At 42.0% G+C, this 17,806-nt stretch overlaps 1 protein-coding gene across 13 annotated transcripts in view; it reads right to left on the reverse strand.

Moving 5' to 3' along the window:
• Nucleotides 1–17,806, reverse strand: part of PARN (poly(A)-specific ribonuclease) — a 194,560-nt gene that overhangs the window by 135,713 nt on the left and 41,041 nt on the right. For 11 of the 13 annotated variants that reach the window (XR_007064884.1, XR_007064883.1, XR_007064882.1 and 8 more), the window contains 5 exons: nucleotides 14,905–14,948; nucleotides 13,336–13,378; nucleotides 12,934–13,009; nucleotides 10,768–10,878; nucleotides 9,461–9,530 (listed from right to left, as the gene is read on the reverse strand). Coding sequence is in view for 9 of the 13 variants with exons in the window: in NM_001134477.3 (NP_001127949.1) it covers nucleotides 9,461–9,530; nucleotides 10,768–10,878; nucleotides 12,934–13,009; nucleotides 13,336–13,378; nucleotides 14,905–14,948 (344 nt within the window). In the remaining 4 variants the exon portion in view is untranslated. Of the gene's footprint in view, nucleotides 1–4,665; nucleotides 4,864–9,460; nucleotides 9,531–10,767; nucleotides 10,879–12,933; nucleotides 13,010–13,335; nucleotides 13,379–14,904; nucleotides 14,949–17,806 lie in introns of those variants that run through there. The other 2 variants (XM_011522514.3, XM_047434185.1) reach the window with 2 other exon arrangements.

Below are 17,806 nucleotides of genomic sequence, written 5' to 3' on the forward strand. Positions count from 1 at the left end.
TAACCATATGATTCAAAGGGGAGAAACAAAAAACAGTAACATATTCAATCTTCTCCCTGCATATTATTTAGTTACATGTAGGTTTTTTGCGGGAGGTCTCCTCTGCTTTCTGGTCAAGGCTCAATAATTCAAAACAAAGTCCTGTTTACTGGATGTACACAGTGCATCATACAACATCTTCTATGCAAACCAACAGCCCTCCTTCTGTCCCCCACATCTAGTCAGAGAAGTGTCTCAAACTATGTCACCACAGCAGTGACAGCAGTGAGAAGTTAACTGAGGCCTATGATGTACCAGCCACTATGCATTTTACACACACTCTCTCATTTCATCCTCACAACAACCCTATCAAACAGGTTCTAATATTCTCAATTTAAAAACGAGGAAGCTGAGGTACAGGGAGGGTGAGTAACTTGCCCAAGATCACACAGGTAATAAGGAGCAGAGCCGGGATTCAACTGTACTATACTACGCTCCACAAGATCCTGAAGTAAAGCAATCCTACTGGAGAAATCAATCAAACGGCTTTTTAAATATTTAAATTCAAATGGAAATGAATCCTATGGAGTGTTGTGACACTGACAGCTATATGCTTACCAACAATAAAGCTATGTTAAAACTCATGTTTATGTTGGGAAGCTGGAAGTCCCATGGAGGAGGGAGGTGGAATTACTGTAAGACTCAATTTAATACACTGCTCCTCTGTATGAGGGAGGGACAGGCTGGACAGCAGAAGGTTAAGCGAGGGCTTCCCTGCAGGTGATCAGGCAGCACCCTCCAGGGAGACAAGCTTGACACACGGGGTCCCTTAACAACCCACTGCGACCCTGCACGCCATGCTGCTGGGCACGAACGGCAGTTGTGCTAGTAAGCAGCAAATAAAGCCTTGTTCTGTCCGTTACTGGCGAGAGGGCTGGGAAGAAATCTTTTCTTTTTTTTTTTGGTCACCCAAAATAAGTTGACACTGGGAAGAAATCTTTAATTCTTCAGTTTAAAATCTCTCTGATGTTAAATGTCAAGCACATGCATATTACAAGAAAAACCCAATTTGCTAACAGCATGCAATTGCTTTCTATGGAGAAAAAGGGAAAACACTGGTGTGCTTTTATTTCAGGCACCACAGGTTCCTTCCTCTCCCATCTGTACATACAGCTGTTATGTATACCTATTCAACCCTCCATACACTGCTGCGTTATATTCATTTCAAAAACAAAACTTTAAAAAATGCTCCAAACCAAAGCCATCATGCTTCTATTACGTACCAATGTGACACAATCATCATCTGATTTTTCATAAGCAAACACTAATGGGTAGGTACTAGCAGAAGTAGACACTTCACATTTGTTGCTACTGCACTCCAATTTTATGTCCACAAGCTAACATAGTTTCTTTTTCATTAAACTAAAACATAAAACACATTCTGCTACCACCTCTACCTTTACTGAATCTCCTAGCATGTTAGATCTTTTTGTATTTTTTCTTTTTTTTTTTTTGAGACAGGGTCTTACTCTGTCACCAAAGCTGGAGTGCAGTGCTGCAACCATGGCTCACTGCAGCCTCAACCTCCTGGGCTCAAGCAATCCTCCTGCCTCAGCCTCCTGAGTAGCTGGGACTACAGGCATGTGCCACCATTCCCAGCTAATTTTTTTTTAAGAGATGGAGTCTCGCTATGTTCCCCTGCCTGGTTTCAACTCCTGGCCTCAAGCAATCCACCTCCCTGGCCTCCCAAAGTGCTAGGATTATAGGCATGAGCCACCATGCCCAACCTTATTTATTTATTTTTAATTAACAACTAAAAATTGTATATATTGATATGTACAACATGTTTTGAAATATGTATACACTGTAAGATGGCTAAATTAGACTAACATATCCATTACCTAACATACTCACTTTTTGCAGTGAAAACACTTAAAACCTACTCTTCTGGTAATCTTCAAGTTTACAATACACTGTTAGTAACTACAGTCACCATGCTGTATAACATATCTCTTGAATTTATTCCTACTAACTGAAATTTTGTGTCCTTTGACCAATATCTCCCCAATCCTCCCCGCACCCCTTATATTTCAAGAAACGGAAAAGAATATATGCTGGGCACTTATTAAGTTCTAGGAACTATCAAAGTCCTTTCAAATCTCATACAATCCTTATAACCTCGACGGAAGATGATACGCTTTGGCTATGTCCCCATCCAAATCTTATCTTGAATTGTAACTCTCACAATTCCTACATGTTGTGGGAGGAACGTGATGGAAGGTGATTGAATTATGGGGGCGGATCTTTCCTGTACTGTTATTTTGATAGTGAGTGAGTCTCACGAGATCTGGTGTTTTAAAAACGGGAGGTTCCCTGCACAAGCTCTCTTGTCTGCTGCCATGTGAGATGTGCCTTTTACCTTCTATCATGATTGTGAGGCCTCCCCAGCCACATGGAACTGTAAGTCCAATAAACCTCTTTCTTTTGTAAATTGCCCAGTCTCAGGTATGTCTTTATCAGCAGCATGAAAATAGACTAATACAGTAAATTGGTACTGGGGCGGGAGAGGGGGCTGCTGAAAAGCTATCAAAAAATGTGAAAGTGACTTTGAAACTGGGTAACAGGCAGAGGCCGGAACAGTTTGGAGGGCTCAGAAGAAGACAGAAAAATGTGGGAAAGTTTGGAACTCCCTAGAGACTTGTTGAATGGTTTTGACCAAAATGCTGGTAATGATATGGATAATGAAATCAAGGCTGAGATGGTCTCAGATGGAGATGAGAAACTTTTTGGGAACTGGAGCAAAGGTGACCCTTGTTATGTTTTAGCAGACACTGGCAGCATTTTGCCCTTGCCATAGAGATTTGTAGAACTTTGAGCTTGAGAGAAATAATTTAGGGTATCTGGCAGAAGAAATTTCTAAGCAGCAAAGCATTCAAGAGGTGACCTGAGTGCTGTTAAAGGCATTCAGTTTTATGAGGGAAGTAGAGCACAAAAGTTTGGAAAATTTGAAACCTGACAATGTGATAGACAAGAAAATCCTGGCCGGGCATGGTGGCTCATGCCTGTAATCCCAGCACTTTGGGAAGCCAAGGTGGGCAGATCATGAGGTCAGGAGTTCGAGACAAGCCTGACCAACATGGTGAAATCCCACCTCTACTAAAAATACAAAAATTAGCTGGGCGTGGTGGCGCACACCTGTAATCCCAGCTACTCAGGAGGCTGAGGCAGGAGAATCACTTGAACCCATGAGGCAGAGGTTGCAGTGAGCCGAGATTGTGCCACTGCACTCCAGCCTGGGCAAGAGAGTGAGACCCCATCTCAAAAAAAAAGAAAAGAAAATCCCATTTTCTGAGGAGAAATTAAGCTGGCTGCAGAAATTTGCGTAAGTAATGAGGAGCCAAAGACAATGGGGAAAATGTCTCCAGGGCGTGTCAGAGGTCTTCAAGGCAGGCCCTCCCATCACAGGCCCAGAAGTTTAGGAGGAAAAAATGGTTTCACAGGCCAGGCCCAGGAGCCCTGCATCCCAGCTGCTCCAGCCATGACTAAAAGTGGCCAAGGTACAGATCAGGCTGTTGCTTCAGAGGGTGGAAGCCCTAGGCCTTGGCAACTTCCATGCAGCATTGAGCCTGTGGGCACACAGAAGTCAAGAATTGAGGTTTGGGGACCTCTACCTAGATTTCAGAAGATGTATGGACATGCCTGGATGCCCAGGAAGAAGTCTGCTGCAGGGGTGGGGCCCTCATGGAGAACTTCTGCTAGGGCAGTGCAGAAGGGAAATGTGGGGTCAGAACCCCCACACAGAGTCCCTACTGGGGCACCACCTAGTGGAGCTGTGAGAAGAGGGCCACTGTCCTTCAGACAGCAGAATGGCAGATCCACCAACAGCTTGCACCATGCATCTGGAAAAGCCACAGACACTCAATGCCAGCACATGAAAGGAGCCAGGAGGGAGGTTGTAACCCTGCAAAGCCACAGGAGCAGAGCTGCCCAAGACCATGGGAACTCGCCTCCTGCATCAGCGTAATCTGAACGTGAGACATGGAGTCAAAGGAGATCATTTTGGAGCTTTAAGATTTGACTGCCCTGCTGGATTTCAGACTTGCATAACTTGCCCAAAATCACACAGGTAATAAGAGCCTGTAGCCAATTACTCCCATTTGGAATGGCTGTATTTATCCATAGCCTGTACCCCCATTGTATCTAGGAAGTAACTAACTTGCTTGTGATTTTACAGGCTCATAGGCGGAAGGGAGACTTGCCTTGATTCAAATGAGAGTTTGGACTGTGGACTTTTAAGTTAATGCTGAAATAAGACTTTGGGGGACTGTTGGGAAGGCATGACTGGTTTTGAATTCTGAGGACATGAGATGTGGGAGGGGCCAAGGGTGGAATTATATGGTTTGGCTGTGTCCCCACCCAAATCTCATCTTGAATTTTAACTCCCACAATTCCCACATATCGTAGGAGGAACCCGGTGGGAGGTGATACAATTATGGGGCAGGTCTTTCCTGCACTGTTCTCGTGATAGTGAATGAATCTCACAAGATCTGATGGTTTTAAAAATGGGAGTGTCCCTGCACAAGCTCTCTTCTCATCTGCTGCCATGTGAGATGTGGCTTTCACCTTCTGCCATGACTGTGAGGCCTCCCCAGCCACGTGAAACTACAAGTCCAATAAACCTCTTTATTTTGTAAATTGCCCTGTCTTAGTTGTGTCTTTATTAGCAGCATGAAAATGGACCAATACAGAAGGTGAATCATTTTATCCCCATTTTACAGAGGAGAAAACATTTGTCCAAGAGCATATCATTCCTTGTCTCATCGGTAGCTCAGAAAGACCATAAAGCAGTGTCATTCCAGGAAGGCCTAGATTTCCAGCGGAACCCTGTTCAGATTCAAAACAAGGAAGCAGTCCTGTAGAGTAAACTGCAGGCATCTAGCTCATCTTTTCACATTCCAGTGCTTACTGAAGATAGCCAAAAAAGAGACCTGCTTATTCTTCCTCTTTCTAAGAACTGAGGTAAACAGAAAACAACCTTCCCGAAAACCTTCATAAAAGGGTCAAGGTGTCTTGACAATACCGAAGACAGTTAACAAAACATAAGGCAAACGTCTGATTTTGTGCTTTCTGTTGTACAATAAAAAGCAAAAGCAGAGAGCATTTTTAGCTCTTAGATTTTAGATCTGGATTTGACCAAAGGATCTTAACATTAAGTTTGGTTTTCAATGCATTGATTAAAACTGACCAAAGCTATAAAAGCAGGTAAATCATTTGCTGAGGAGACAGCCTCCAATATAAACAGAGTGCATTCCACACAGGCTGTCATTAGCAGTGGCGTGATCCTGATTTCCATGGCTCAATTCTCTCATGACTTTCCTCCTGATTCCAAAAAAGCAAGGAGGACTATGGGAGGTGCCCAGGCCATGAAAAAGACAAAATGGCACCATGCAAAACCCTTATGGGACATTCTTCTAGACCAGTATGGCTTAAAAAAACACCTCATATCACATTCAGTCTTTGCATACTGCTTAAACAACAGTGGTCTCAGGATTTCCTCAATAGTTGACTTGATAAAGCTTCCCAAAATGGCATAACTGATGCTACTAAATGCTAATTTAGAATAATGCAGACGTAAGTGAAGTTTATTTCCCTTCGAGGTTTACTTTTTAAATGTTAAGTCTGGTGAGAGCAAAATAAAATATTGTTTGCATATGTGGGCAGTTTAATGTCCACCCAAATTTATGTTAGGAGTATGCATGTTTGGTAAAGGTTACATTTAGAAAAGACTGGTGTCAAAATAAATTAATCTTCAGAAAATCTTGCATATTTTTCTAAAATCATCAGCTTGAGATAATGTTGGGGGCAACTACCAAATGTTTTTCTACAAGGGTAACCATGAAAAATGACAAAAATCAAGGTTTAATATCCTAAATCACCTGCAAGTAAGTAAAAACAAGGTCAGTATTAACATAGAAAGAGATGTCAAAAGAAGCAATTGTTTTTCCTTCTTTTTTCTTTTTGGTCTCCTCTTCCCAGACTCAAGTGATCCTCCTGCCTCAGCCTCCCGAGTAGCTGGGACTACAGGTGTCTGCCCCTACACCCACCTAATTTTTGTATTTTTTGTATAGACTGGGTTTTGCCACATTGTCCAGGCTGCTCTCAAACTCCTGGGCTCAAGCAACCCTCCTTCCTCACCTTCACAAAGTGGTGGGATTACAGGCATGAGCCACGGCACCTGGTCCAGAAAACCCACTTTACTTACTTACTTACTTACATTTATTTATTTATTTTTGAGATAGAGTCTCACTCTTGTTGCCCAGGCTGGAATGCAGTGGCGCAATCTCGGCTCACTGCAACCTCTGCCTCCTGGGTTCAAGCAATTCTCCTGCCTCAGCCCCCCCAGTAGCTGGGATTACAGGCACCCATCAACACGCTCAGCTACTTTTTGTATTTGTAGTAGAGACAGGGTTTCGCCATGTTGGCCAGGCTGGTCTTGAACTCCTGACCTCAGGTGATCCGCCCGCCTCAGCCTCCCAAAGTGCTGGGATTACAGACATAGGCCAACGCATCTGGCCATAAAACCCACTTTCTAAGGGGGTTAAGAATGAATGCCTATACTTAACCAAGTTATTCCAATAAATAATAATAAAAACAGGCCATGCATGGTGGCTCACGCCTGTAATCCCAACACTTTGGGAGGCCAAGGCAGGTGGATCACCTGAGGTCAGGAGTTTGAGACCAGCCTGGCCAACATGGTGAAACCCTGTCTCTACTAAAAATACAAAAATTAGCAGGGCGTGGTGGTACGAGCCTGTAGTCCCAGCTACTCAGGAGGCTGAGGCAGGAGAATCACTTGAACCTAGGAGGTGGAGGTTGCAGTGAGCTGAGATCACGCCACTGCACTCCAGCCTAAGTGACAGAGTGAGACTCTGTCTCACCAAAAAAAAAAAAAAAAAAAAAGAGGAATAAAAACAGTTCTTGGCTAGGCGCGGTGACTAACGTCTGTAACTCCAGCACTCTGGGAGGCCGAGGCGGGTGGATCACCTGAGGTCAGGAGTTCGAGACCAGCCTGACCAACATGGAGAAACCCCATCTCTACTAAAAATACAAAAAAATGGCCGGGCATGGTGGCACTTGCCTGTAATCCCAGCTACTTGGGAGGCTGAGACAGGAGAATCACTTGAACCCGAGAGGCAGAGGTTGCGGTGAGCCGAGATCACGCCATTGCACTCCAGCCTGGGCAACAAGAGTGAAACAACATCTCAAAAAAAAAAGAAAGAAAAAAAACACAGTTCTTATTTTGTATTTCAAATCTTGCAGGAATATTTTTCCTTTAATGATGAAGAAAATATTCTTCCTTTACAGATTGGAAAAAAATAGACCAAAAAAATAATCACAGAAGGATTCCCAAATCCCACCTCCTATTCAACTACTCTTGGTATGCATCTAGGTTTTACAAAAAAATTCTGAATGGACAGATGTCCCAATTCAAAATAAGCCTACACATTTACTGTCTAGTTCTTTTCAATAATAGTCCTGCACAGTATTAGCAATATTAGATTGATCTAGAAATACAGAAAGTCTCAGCTAGCTTTTTTTTCTTTTTTTTTTTGAGAGGGAGTCTCACTCTGTTGCCCAGGCTGGAGTGCAGTGGTGTGATCTTGGCTCACTGCAGCTTCCGCCTCCTGGTTTCAAGCGATTCTCCTGCCTTAGCCTCCCGAGTAGCTGGGAATACAGGCTAATTTTTGTACTTTTAGTACAGACCGGTTTTCACCATGCTGGCCAGGCTGGTCTCGAACTCCTGACCTCGAGTGATCTGCCCGCCTTGTTCTCCCAAAGTGCTGGGATTACAGGCGTAAGCCACTATACCCAGCCCAGCTAAGCTTTTTAATCAAAGTTTATTTTGATTGCTCTGCATGTTGGTCACATACATGACTGATAAACTAGATGCAGCCCACATCTAACCCAGTTTGCATCCAACATCTGATTTTATAAGGAGCTGACTTTAGTGGAGAAGCAGGATTACTGTTTTAATATTTACAGCGTGTAAATATTTACAAATGACTACTCAAGAGACTGAGGTGGAAGGGTCACTTGAGCTCAGGAGGTGGAGGCTGCAGTGAGCCAAGATCATGCCACTGCACTCCAGCATGGAAAAAAGAGCAAGACCGTGACTCAAAAAAATAATAATAATAATACAAATGAGTCAACATCTCTCAGTTGAAAAATACTGCAGAACAATGAATTTAACATCAAGTACATAAAAATGTAAGGGAACAATCATAATTGGACCTATATTTAGCTGGCCACGGTGGTTCACACCTGTAATCCCAGCACTTTGGGAGGCTGAGGTGGGCAGATAACCTGAGGTCAGGGAGTTCGAGAGAAGCCTATTCAGCATGGTGAAACACCATCTCTACTAAAAATATAAAGATTAGCCAGGTGTGGTGGTACATGCCTGTAGTTCCAGCTACTCCATAGGCTGCAGCAGGAGGACTGCTTGAACCCAGGAGGCAGACATTGCCGTGAGCTGAGATTGTGCCACTGCACTCCACATTGCAGCCTGGGTGACAGAGTGAGACACCATCTCAAAAAAAAAAAAAAAGAACTATATTTAACATCAATCACCTGTGGGTTCCATGGTCTACAGCAAAGGCTACATTTCCAAAGACAAACACTGCCCCAAAAAATAAAAGAGCTAAGAAAATCATGTTTTCTACAGGCGCCCGCCACCGTGCCGGCTAATTTTTTGTATTTTTAGTAGAGATGGGGTTTCACCGTGTTAGCCAGGATGGTCTCAATCTCCTGACTTCATGATCCGCCTGCCTCAGTCTCCCAAAGTTGGGGGATTACAGGCGTGAGCCACCGCGCCTGGCCAGGAAATTTTCTTTTGTTTTTTTTGTTTTTTTTTTTCAGACAGAGTTTTGCTGTGTTGCCCAGGCTGCAGTGCAGTGGTGCAATCTCAGCTCACTGCAACCTCTGCCACCTGGGTTGAAGCAATTCTCCCACTACAGCCTCCCGAGTAGCTGGGATTACAGGCACATGCCACCACGCCTGGCTAATTTTTGTATTTTTAATAGAGACGAGTTTCATCATGTTGGCCAGGCTGGCCTCGAACTCCTGACCTCAAGCACTCTGCCCACCTCAGCCTCCCAAAGTGCTGGGATTACAGGTGTGAGCCACCACACCCGGCCCCTCATAGGAAATTTAAATGCCAGAACTACCAGTTCTTTTTCTTGGAAGAGATCTACTATACTACGTCTAGCAATGTTTTCTTTTTTTTTTTTAAGCCTATATTTTTAATACATTTGTTCCCCAAAAGGTCACTTTCTACTTTCAAAAAACATGTGAGTCACTCGAGATGAAAAACAGCTTATCTAAAAATGTGTTATAGCTCCCAATAACTCCAAACTGACATCCCAAGATATGAGGCTGTTCCACAGTGAGAGAACTTGGAAACTGGAACTCTCTGATTACTTACTTGTTAAAAAAAGGTTCAATGAGTTTTGATCTGGCAGACACATGAATTTTTGGAGGGCTGAGAAAAGAACCTAATGAAGAAAAGAAGAGAGGTATTATTATTCATAGTCACATAGACCAAGCCTGAAAGTTCAGACCAAAACAGATTTAAATTAACAGCATGGTTCAACAAGTGTGAAAGGTATTCTTTTTTTTTTGAGTCAGAGTTTCACTCTTGTTGCCCAGGCTGGAGTGCAATGGCGCAATCTCGGTTCACTGAAACTTCCACCTCCCAGATTCAAGTGATTGTCCTGCCTCAGCCTCCCGAGGACCAGGGATTACAGACATGTGCCACCATGCCCAGCTAATTTTGTATTTTTAGTGGAGACAGGGTTTTTCCATGTTGGTCAGGCTGGTCTCAAACTCCTAACCTCAGGTGATCCACCCACCTCAGCCTCCTAAAGTGCTGGGATTACAGGAGTAAGCCACTGCGCCCGGCCTGTGAAAGGTATTCTTACGCACCAAGTACCATACCACAGCAAGTGTCAGTGGTTTTTCTTGCAGATTTCCTCCTCCCCTCATCTCCTCCCACTCCTACCTCAAAACCCTCCCACTTTTAATTGGGTGAGTGGATCCCAAGGAAATGGTAGTGCTATAGGTTCAATGTTTGTGTCCCCCTAAAATTCATATGTTGAAGCCTCCCCAGTACGATGGTATTTGGAAGTGAGACCTTTGGGAGGTAATTAAGTCACGAGGGAATTAGTGCCCTTATAAGAAGGGTCAGGAGGCTGGGTGCGGTGGCTCAAGCCTGTAATTCCAGCACTTTGGGAGGCTGAGGTAGGAGGATCACTTGAGCCCAGAAATTCTAGATCAGCCTGGTTAACACAGCAAGACCCTGTCTCTATAAAAAAATTAAAAAGTTAGCCAGGCACAGTGATGCACACCAGTAGTCCCAGCTACTTGGGAGGCTGAGCCCAGGAGTTCAGCGTTGCAGTAAGCTATGATTGAACCACTGTACTTCCAGCCTGGGTGACAGAGTGAGACCCTGACTCTTAAAAAAGAGGCGGCACAGCTTCTGCTCTCTCTGCTCTCCACCACGTAAGGACAGGAGAAGGCAGCCATCTGCAAACCAGGAAGTGGGCTCTCACCAGATACTAGGTCTGCTGGCAACTGGGTCTTGGACTTTCCAGCCTCCTGAACATGAGAAATAAATGTCTGTTGTTTAAGCCCCACACTCGACAGTAATTTATTACAGCAGCCTAAGCCAGGAGACAGGTAAGATCCACCCTAGATCACTGCGTGTTTGACTGAAAGACATGTAATGCGTACCTAGGTAATTGGCCATGGAGATGAAGCACAGCCCTGTGATGTAGGCATCGTAGCCTGCCTCGTGGAGTTGTTCAGAGGCTGTGTCATAACTTGGAAAACCTTCGGCACTTTCTAAGAAAAAAAAGGAAAAAGTTTTCCTCAAAACAAAGACTAGTAAGCACATTGCCCTACCAATCAAAATTGCATTAGCATATGCTAGAGAAATACCCTAAATAGGCAGAAAAAAGCTATCTATTCCTTAATTCTCTCTATATAAGACCTTAAAATACAAGATAACAGAGTCACTGAAAAGGAGGGCTTTGGTCTAGGATACAGAAATGCCTCAGTTAGATTACAAAGGACTCAGCCGTGGGCTTTCTCGTCCCACACTGGTGGGTGCTATTTATGATCATCCATAACTCACTCTAGGACAATGATTCCTCTTCTGCTTGCTTTCTAAGGCCATGAAAAGGATATTCTTCCCTTATACAAGATGGTCACATCAGGCCACAATAGATGATCCAGAGTAAAGATTAAGAGCATGGGCTCTGGAGTCACACTGAGTTCGAATCTCTGCTCCACCACTTATTTGCGGTATGACCTTGGGCAAGTCACTTCATCCCTAAGGTTCCAGTTTTGTAAAACAGAGATGATAATCAAACCTTCTTCAAAAGGTTATTGTTAGGATCAGATAAGATAATATAAGTTAAACTCTTACCTAGTGCTTGGTACATAGTAAGTGCTCAAAAACTGTTATCTATCAATACCTGAGGCAACCCTCCCCCAAAAAAAGAGAAGACTGCAATTCACTATCAACAGCTCCAACTCACTACTGTCCTCTACTATGTTCCCAAGCTTAGAGATCGAAAGGTGACAGCACAACCAACTCCAAAAATAAATCGAACTTGCTATAATGCTGGCCTTGGATCATGGAACCACTTTACAGCAAAGACCGCTTTATATACAATATGGTTCTTTTGTGACATTGATAAATACAGATGTGACCAGATAAACTATAAGAGGAATGACCTGCTTTAGACTGAATTCTCTACCAGATACCACTATTTTATATGGAAATAATAACATAAAACTATAACTCATAAATAATTATATCCTAGAACCATTCTGGAAATGAATGTCAGGAAGGTTACTATAACACAGAATCAAAAGCATAAATGGAAATTAACAATGAAAAGGCTGTAACTGTTTTTATGTCAATACAATGCTCTTTAAGCAAGAATTCTTTAACTCCATATTAAATATTAGACTTGATGCCTTTAAAAAAAAGCCTTTTAACATGGTAGCCACCTAAGTAATATCTTCCACTCCATCATCAACTGAGACACATTCTTTCCAAAATCAATTATTTCCATTATATTGTTATAGAAAAGGTCCACGTTTTCTCCCCCAATGGCCCCACCACCACTTTTCTTAATTCCTTTCTTGGACTATTACCCAGAAAGGGGCAAATAACTGTAATCTTGGCTGCTTTAATACTTTGCATTATCAATTTCTAAACCATTAGTCCTATTATCCATGTCTTTAGAAGTTTTCAGGCTACAACTAATGGCTCGCTAATCACCGTATCAGCAGCACAATCAGGTTAACAGGGACCAAGGAAGTAGCACCTGGTAGGCTCTCCACATACCTTGGTGGTGGCCCGAGGTGGCAAAACACCTCCATCTCATCTCCCTACTTCTGGTTTTCCTCAGTGCTGCTGTTTCTACTCTCTAAACCAGCTGAAAAGGAGGCAGGGTGGGGACTTGCCTTAATCTCACCTGTAAATCCAGTTCTCGGGCTTTTCTGAGATGGAAAATATATTTTTTACTCTACCCCTGGTGATTAATCACTAGCTCTTTGTCTCTGCTTCAATAATGTATGAAAGAATAAAAGGGCACATCAAGTTTTAGGAGAATTCCATATTATTAGAAAATAGAAGCCTTGAAGCTTTAATTGCTAAAATTCTCAATGAATGGCTACCCAACTCCATTAACATAAAATATATGTAGAATTAAAAGACCATCTTTATTCAAAAAACAATAATTCAACACACGGTACGTGCAAGTGAATTCAGCCAAAATCTATAAATGAACAATACGGTCTCCAGAGCCATTCTGCTTTTCTTCTACAATATACATCAATAATTATTACAAAGAGTTTGGAGGGTTTCCGGTTTAATATTCTTACCAACTTTAGGAGGGTTGAAAGGTGTCTCTTTTAACCGCTTTTCCAATTCCGCAAGGGATGTGTTGTTAATGATATCCTGCAAACCACGAAGCAAAGAATTATGAGATTTCATCATCTCAGAACAATATATTAAAGAGATTCACTGACCCCCCCAAAAAAAAGACAGCATCTAGTACTGTCTCCTTGTGTTCTTTAAAGAAACACAGAAGTCTTCGTTTTTTTCAATGTGAAAGAGAAGCAGCTAGTTTAATTTTTATAATATACAAAGTATAACCAAATGAATAAAGATCTTTACAGATGCATTAAATACCTCCAAACCTTTTGCCAGAAGGCTATATTGTTCTGGCATTCATTTCACTCAGTAATATGCAGTCGCTTTATAAAGTAGCAAATGAATAATACCTTAAAAGGTTGTGTGCTGGCCATCAATTTAGTATCCAAGAGTCTAAAAAGAATTTTTAACAAGGTAAACAAAATGTATATCAATGTTTAAAATGTCTTTTACTCAAATATGTAAGCTACTTAAAATACTTCATACATAAAAAACATAATTAAAACATAAAATGTTTAATACAGAAAATACTTAAACACAGACAAAGTAATTAAACACATTGGCCATTTTGAACCCAGCACCAGCATCCCTGCTACGTTGGAGTAGGTACTCAGTCCCATCATCAGCGACTTCATTGAGCAACTGCAGGAGAGTCCACACTTGGAGTACAAGTTCTAGATTCACCTGGATCCTCAGAGAGCCTGGGCTCCATCAATCTCAAGGGTGAGTCAAATACTCTCACATGGTTTTACGTGGTTCAAATACTGCTGCCGGTCTACCATTCCCAAACTGCTACCATCTACTCCTACTCCTCAGGTTTGTAAACTATAAATTCTTCTGCAGGGCCAAAATCTACAATCAGTACTTTCACGCTGTTGTTTTTATTTCTTATTATTCTATTTCAGAGATCAGAAACACCAAAAGGGGAGGGTGGGGAGAAACCCACATGAAAACTCTATTTCTCTGTTTTTTTTTTTTTTTTTTTTCATATAAATGTGAACAGAGTGGGTAACAGGACAGAAATAAGCCCAGCTGAAAGAGAAACTGCTCGAACACCACGCCTATCCCTCTTCAACAGGTCCTAAGACACAAACACTTGTTCGGTAGGCTCCACATGGCTGACCTATGATGTCTCAGAGATATGTGACATATGACCTATCAGAACAAGGGGGCAATAATAACTATGGAAAACACCAACAGGAAAAGGCACTGACTTGAAGTGGATGAAAAACAAAATCTCTAGCCAGATGGACAGTTCTTGACTGACTCTTGAACACTCTCAATTGGACACTTCAATAGTTACAAGGTACATCCTACATGCAAGACAGACAAGAGCCATCTCAAGGAGGCTTCAACAGTTCTTCAGACAGCAAGATGAGAGATAAGAAAAAAGGAGTCGTTGGTCTACTTTCACTCTCAGTTCAAACTGTGATTTTTTGATAACAAAACCAATCATAAATTATAAAAGCAAGCCATCACAACATTGGAGACATTAAATAAGTTCCAAGCTTATATGAACATGATCTAATGGTTTTAACAAATTACTATATACCTATTTGTATTGTGTATGTCACAATGACTCTTTTTTTTTTTTTTTTTTTTGAGACAGGATCTCACTCTGTCACCCAGGCTGGATAGTAGCACTATTATGGCTCACTGCAACCTGGACCTCCTGGGTTCAAGCAATTCGCCCACTTCAGCCTCCTGAGTAGCTGGACCACACGTATCCCACCACACCCAGCTAATTTTTTATTTTTTATAGATATGTGGTTTCACTATGTTGCCCAGGCTGGTTCTGAACTCCCTAGGCTCAAGTGATCCTCCCACCTCAGTCTCCCAAAGTGGTGGGATTATAGGTGTGAGCCACCGTGCCCAGCCAACTTTTTTAAAAGAAAGACAAATCCTCAAAGAAAGCTTACCTGGGGAAAACACATGTTGTCATCTCTTTAAACTCACTTAAGTCCTAAAGAACAAGAGAAGGACTTGTTACAATTTTCCTAATACACTCGCAGTATTAAAAAACATGTAAACAGCTCAAGTTCCATAGCTGTCTTCTCAAACAAGCTGTTGGGGCCCTTAAGCTAAACTACAAAACCCATTTCTAGTTAACAAGTACAAAAAAAACACAAAACCTTCCCAATTTCCTCACTCATTGGGAACCATATAACCTGATAACTAACTTCTGCATAACCAAAACAACAAATTTAAGGATTTAATAGTTGAAATTGGGAAGGGGCAGGGGGTCCAATAAAATGTTAAAACCTACCTATTTGAGAGGCCTGTAATAAAAGCAGAAAACTTCCAGTAATAGCTAACAGGCTGCGATCTACCACACAAATTTATCATAACAGTGAGACAAGCAGAGTCATTTAAATTAAATGGTTTACACAGGAAATGGGCATACTGTAAACTAGCTTAGACCTTTCCTGAGATCACCTTTGAAATGTTAGTAAAAATGGCCTTGGAAACACAGGCTTTTCAATACACATATGATTCCTGTTTCAACTCCAGAAAATTGCTCAAGTGGCACTAATAGCAAGTGCCTAGATTAGACAATTCATTTCTCAAGTTTATTTTGATCAGGAAGTCTAGAGCTGAAATGAGAGTCCTCTAATTTTGAATTAACTCATTTACATACATAATTGCCATGCTAGACTGAGTAGTCATACTCCTGACTCTTTGTAAACTACACTTCTCTTCAATGTTATTCATGCTTCATAGGAAACTGCTGTTTCCAATTAGCTTTTCAAGCCTGTAAATACAGACTGTATTTAGCTAGCCTGATATATTTACCAGCTTTTCACTGGCTATAAATTAATGGGCAAAGCATGAACAGGCGATTTCAATGCAACGTCAAAAAATGCAATAATGATGTTTGTAATCTCTCAATACCACTAGAAAGCTTTACAAGCAAGGAACAAGGAGAATTACGGCCACCTCCAGGGCCAACATATAGCACAGTTCTAGACCAATGTCTTCTAAAAGGTCATGCTCAAGTATCAAGATAGTTCATAAGAAAACACTCTCCTCTAAAAGGCAACTCCAAAATGTGGATTATTTAGTATCCTTTTAAATGCAAATTTTGATACCAGTGCATGTAAAAGCTCTACCTTTTTATCAAGTCAGGGTCTCACTATGTTGCCCAGACTAGCCTTGAACTCCTGCACTCAAGCAATTCTCCTGTAACAGCCTCTCAAGTAGCAGGCACTGCAGGTATGCACCACCACACCCAGCCTTCTAATTTATTAGGCTTTCTAATTTCTTCTCATCACTTCTTCTAAAGGTAGATGGAAAAAAACAAAACAAAACATTTTCTTTCTCTGACAATGCCAGAACATAAAGAAGTTAAGTTACTTACCAGGTAGCCTTAGTAATAAAGTGAAGGATAAAACTGCTTATCCTAACCCACTTACTACTCTACAACAAATCACTTGCTCTTTCTACCAGAATTTAATTCAAGACCACTTTCATTCCACTTAACGTTCATTAACTGCTTACATACAATGTGTTAAGTCAGGCCATTCATTAACTGCTTACACGCAATGTGTTATGTTACGCACTTACACAACAAAATGGCTACACCCCTTGTCCAAGGAGCTAACCACCTAGAAGGGGGTTATGCTGTATAATACAAGACAAAATTTATGTAACATAGAGATGTACAATGTTCTGTGGGAGTTGAGAGAAAGGAAAGATCACCTCTTGGGCAAGGTAGCAGGCAATAAAAACTTCATGGAGAAGGCAAAAGCTGCACCGCGGAAAGTTAAGGGAAAGCTGTGAACAACAAACATTGAGAACAACAAGAGAAAATTCAAGTTGGAAGAAATTAAACAAAGCACCTCTTAGGGAACAAATAAGTCAGTCTTGGAAAAAGGAGAGCAACAAGGGATTAGACTACACAGAAAGGTTGGGCTGGATCACAGAAAGCCTGTTATGCATGGGTAAAAATAGTCAACTGCCTAGAAAACAAAGAGTGTGGGATTAATTTAGAATTTTCAGCAGGGTCAGTGACAGGAACGGAGCCATACATCAGAAGATTACAAAACTGGCAGTCGGGAGATACTTCATTTGTTAAATCGATATTTAATGCCTTCTAGTGCCAAGCTCTATTCAGTATTCGAAACACCTAGAAGCACAGAATTAAATACATTTTCCTCTTGCCTTGCTGATAACTTCATTGCTTTAAAGATCAAAAAAGGCTGGGAGCGGGTGGCTCATTCCTGTAATCCCAGCACTTTGGAAAGCCGAGCGGGTGGATCACTTGAGGCCGGAAGTTCGAGACCAGCCTGGCAAGCATGGTGAAATCCCATCTCCACTAAAAAAAATTACAAAAATTAGCCAGATGTGGTGGCGTACACCTGTAATCCCAGCTACTTGAGAGACTGAGACATGAGAATCACTTGAACTTGGGAGAGGGAGGTTGCAGTGAGCCAAAATCACACCACTGCACTCCAGCCTGGCGACAGAGTGAGACTCTGTCTCAAAAAAACAAATGAACAGGCTGGGCGTGGTGGCTCACACCTGTAATCCCAGAGCATTGGGAGGCCAAAGCAGGTGGATTACCTGAAGTCAGGGGTTCAAGACCAGCCTGGCCAACATGGTGAAACTCCGTCTCTACTGAAAATATAAAAATTAGCTGGGCATGGTGGCAGGTGCCTGTAAACCCAGCTACTCGGGAGGCTAAGGCAGGAGAATCGCTTGGATCCGGTAGGCAGAGGTTGCAGTGAGTCAAGATCGCACCACTGCACTCCACCCTGGGCCACAGAGCAAGACTCTGTCTCAAAAATAAATAAATAAATAAATAAATAAATAATAAAGGTC

Source organism: Homo sapiens, chromosome 16 (genome assembly GCF_000001405.40).
Source record: "Homo sapiens chromosome 16, GRCh38.p14 Primary Assembly".
Taxonomy (NCBI): domain Eukaryota; kingdom Metazoa; phylum Chordata; class Mammalia; order Primates; family Hominidae; genus Homo; species Homo sapiens.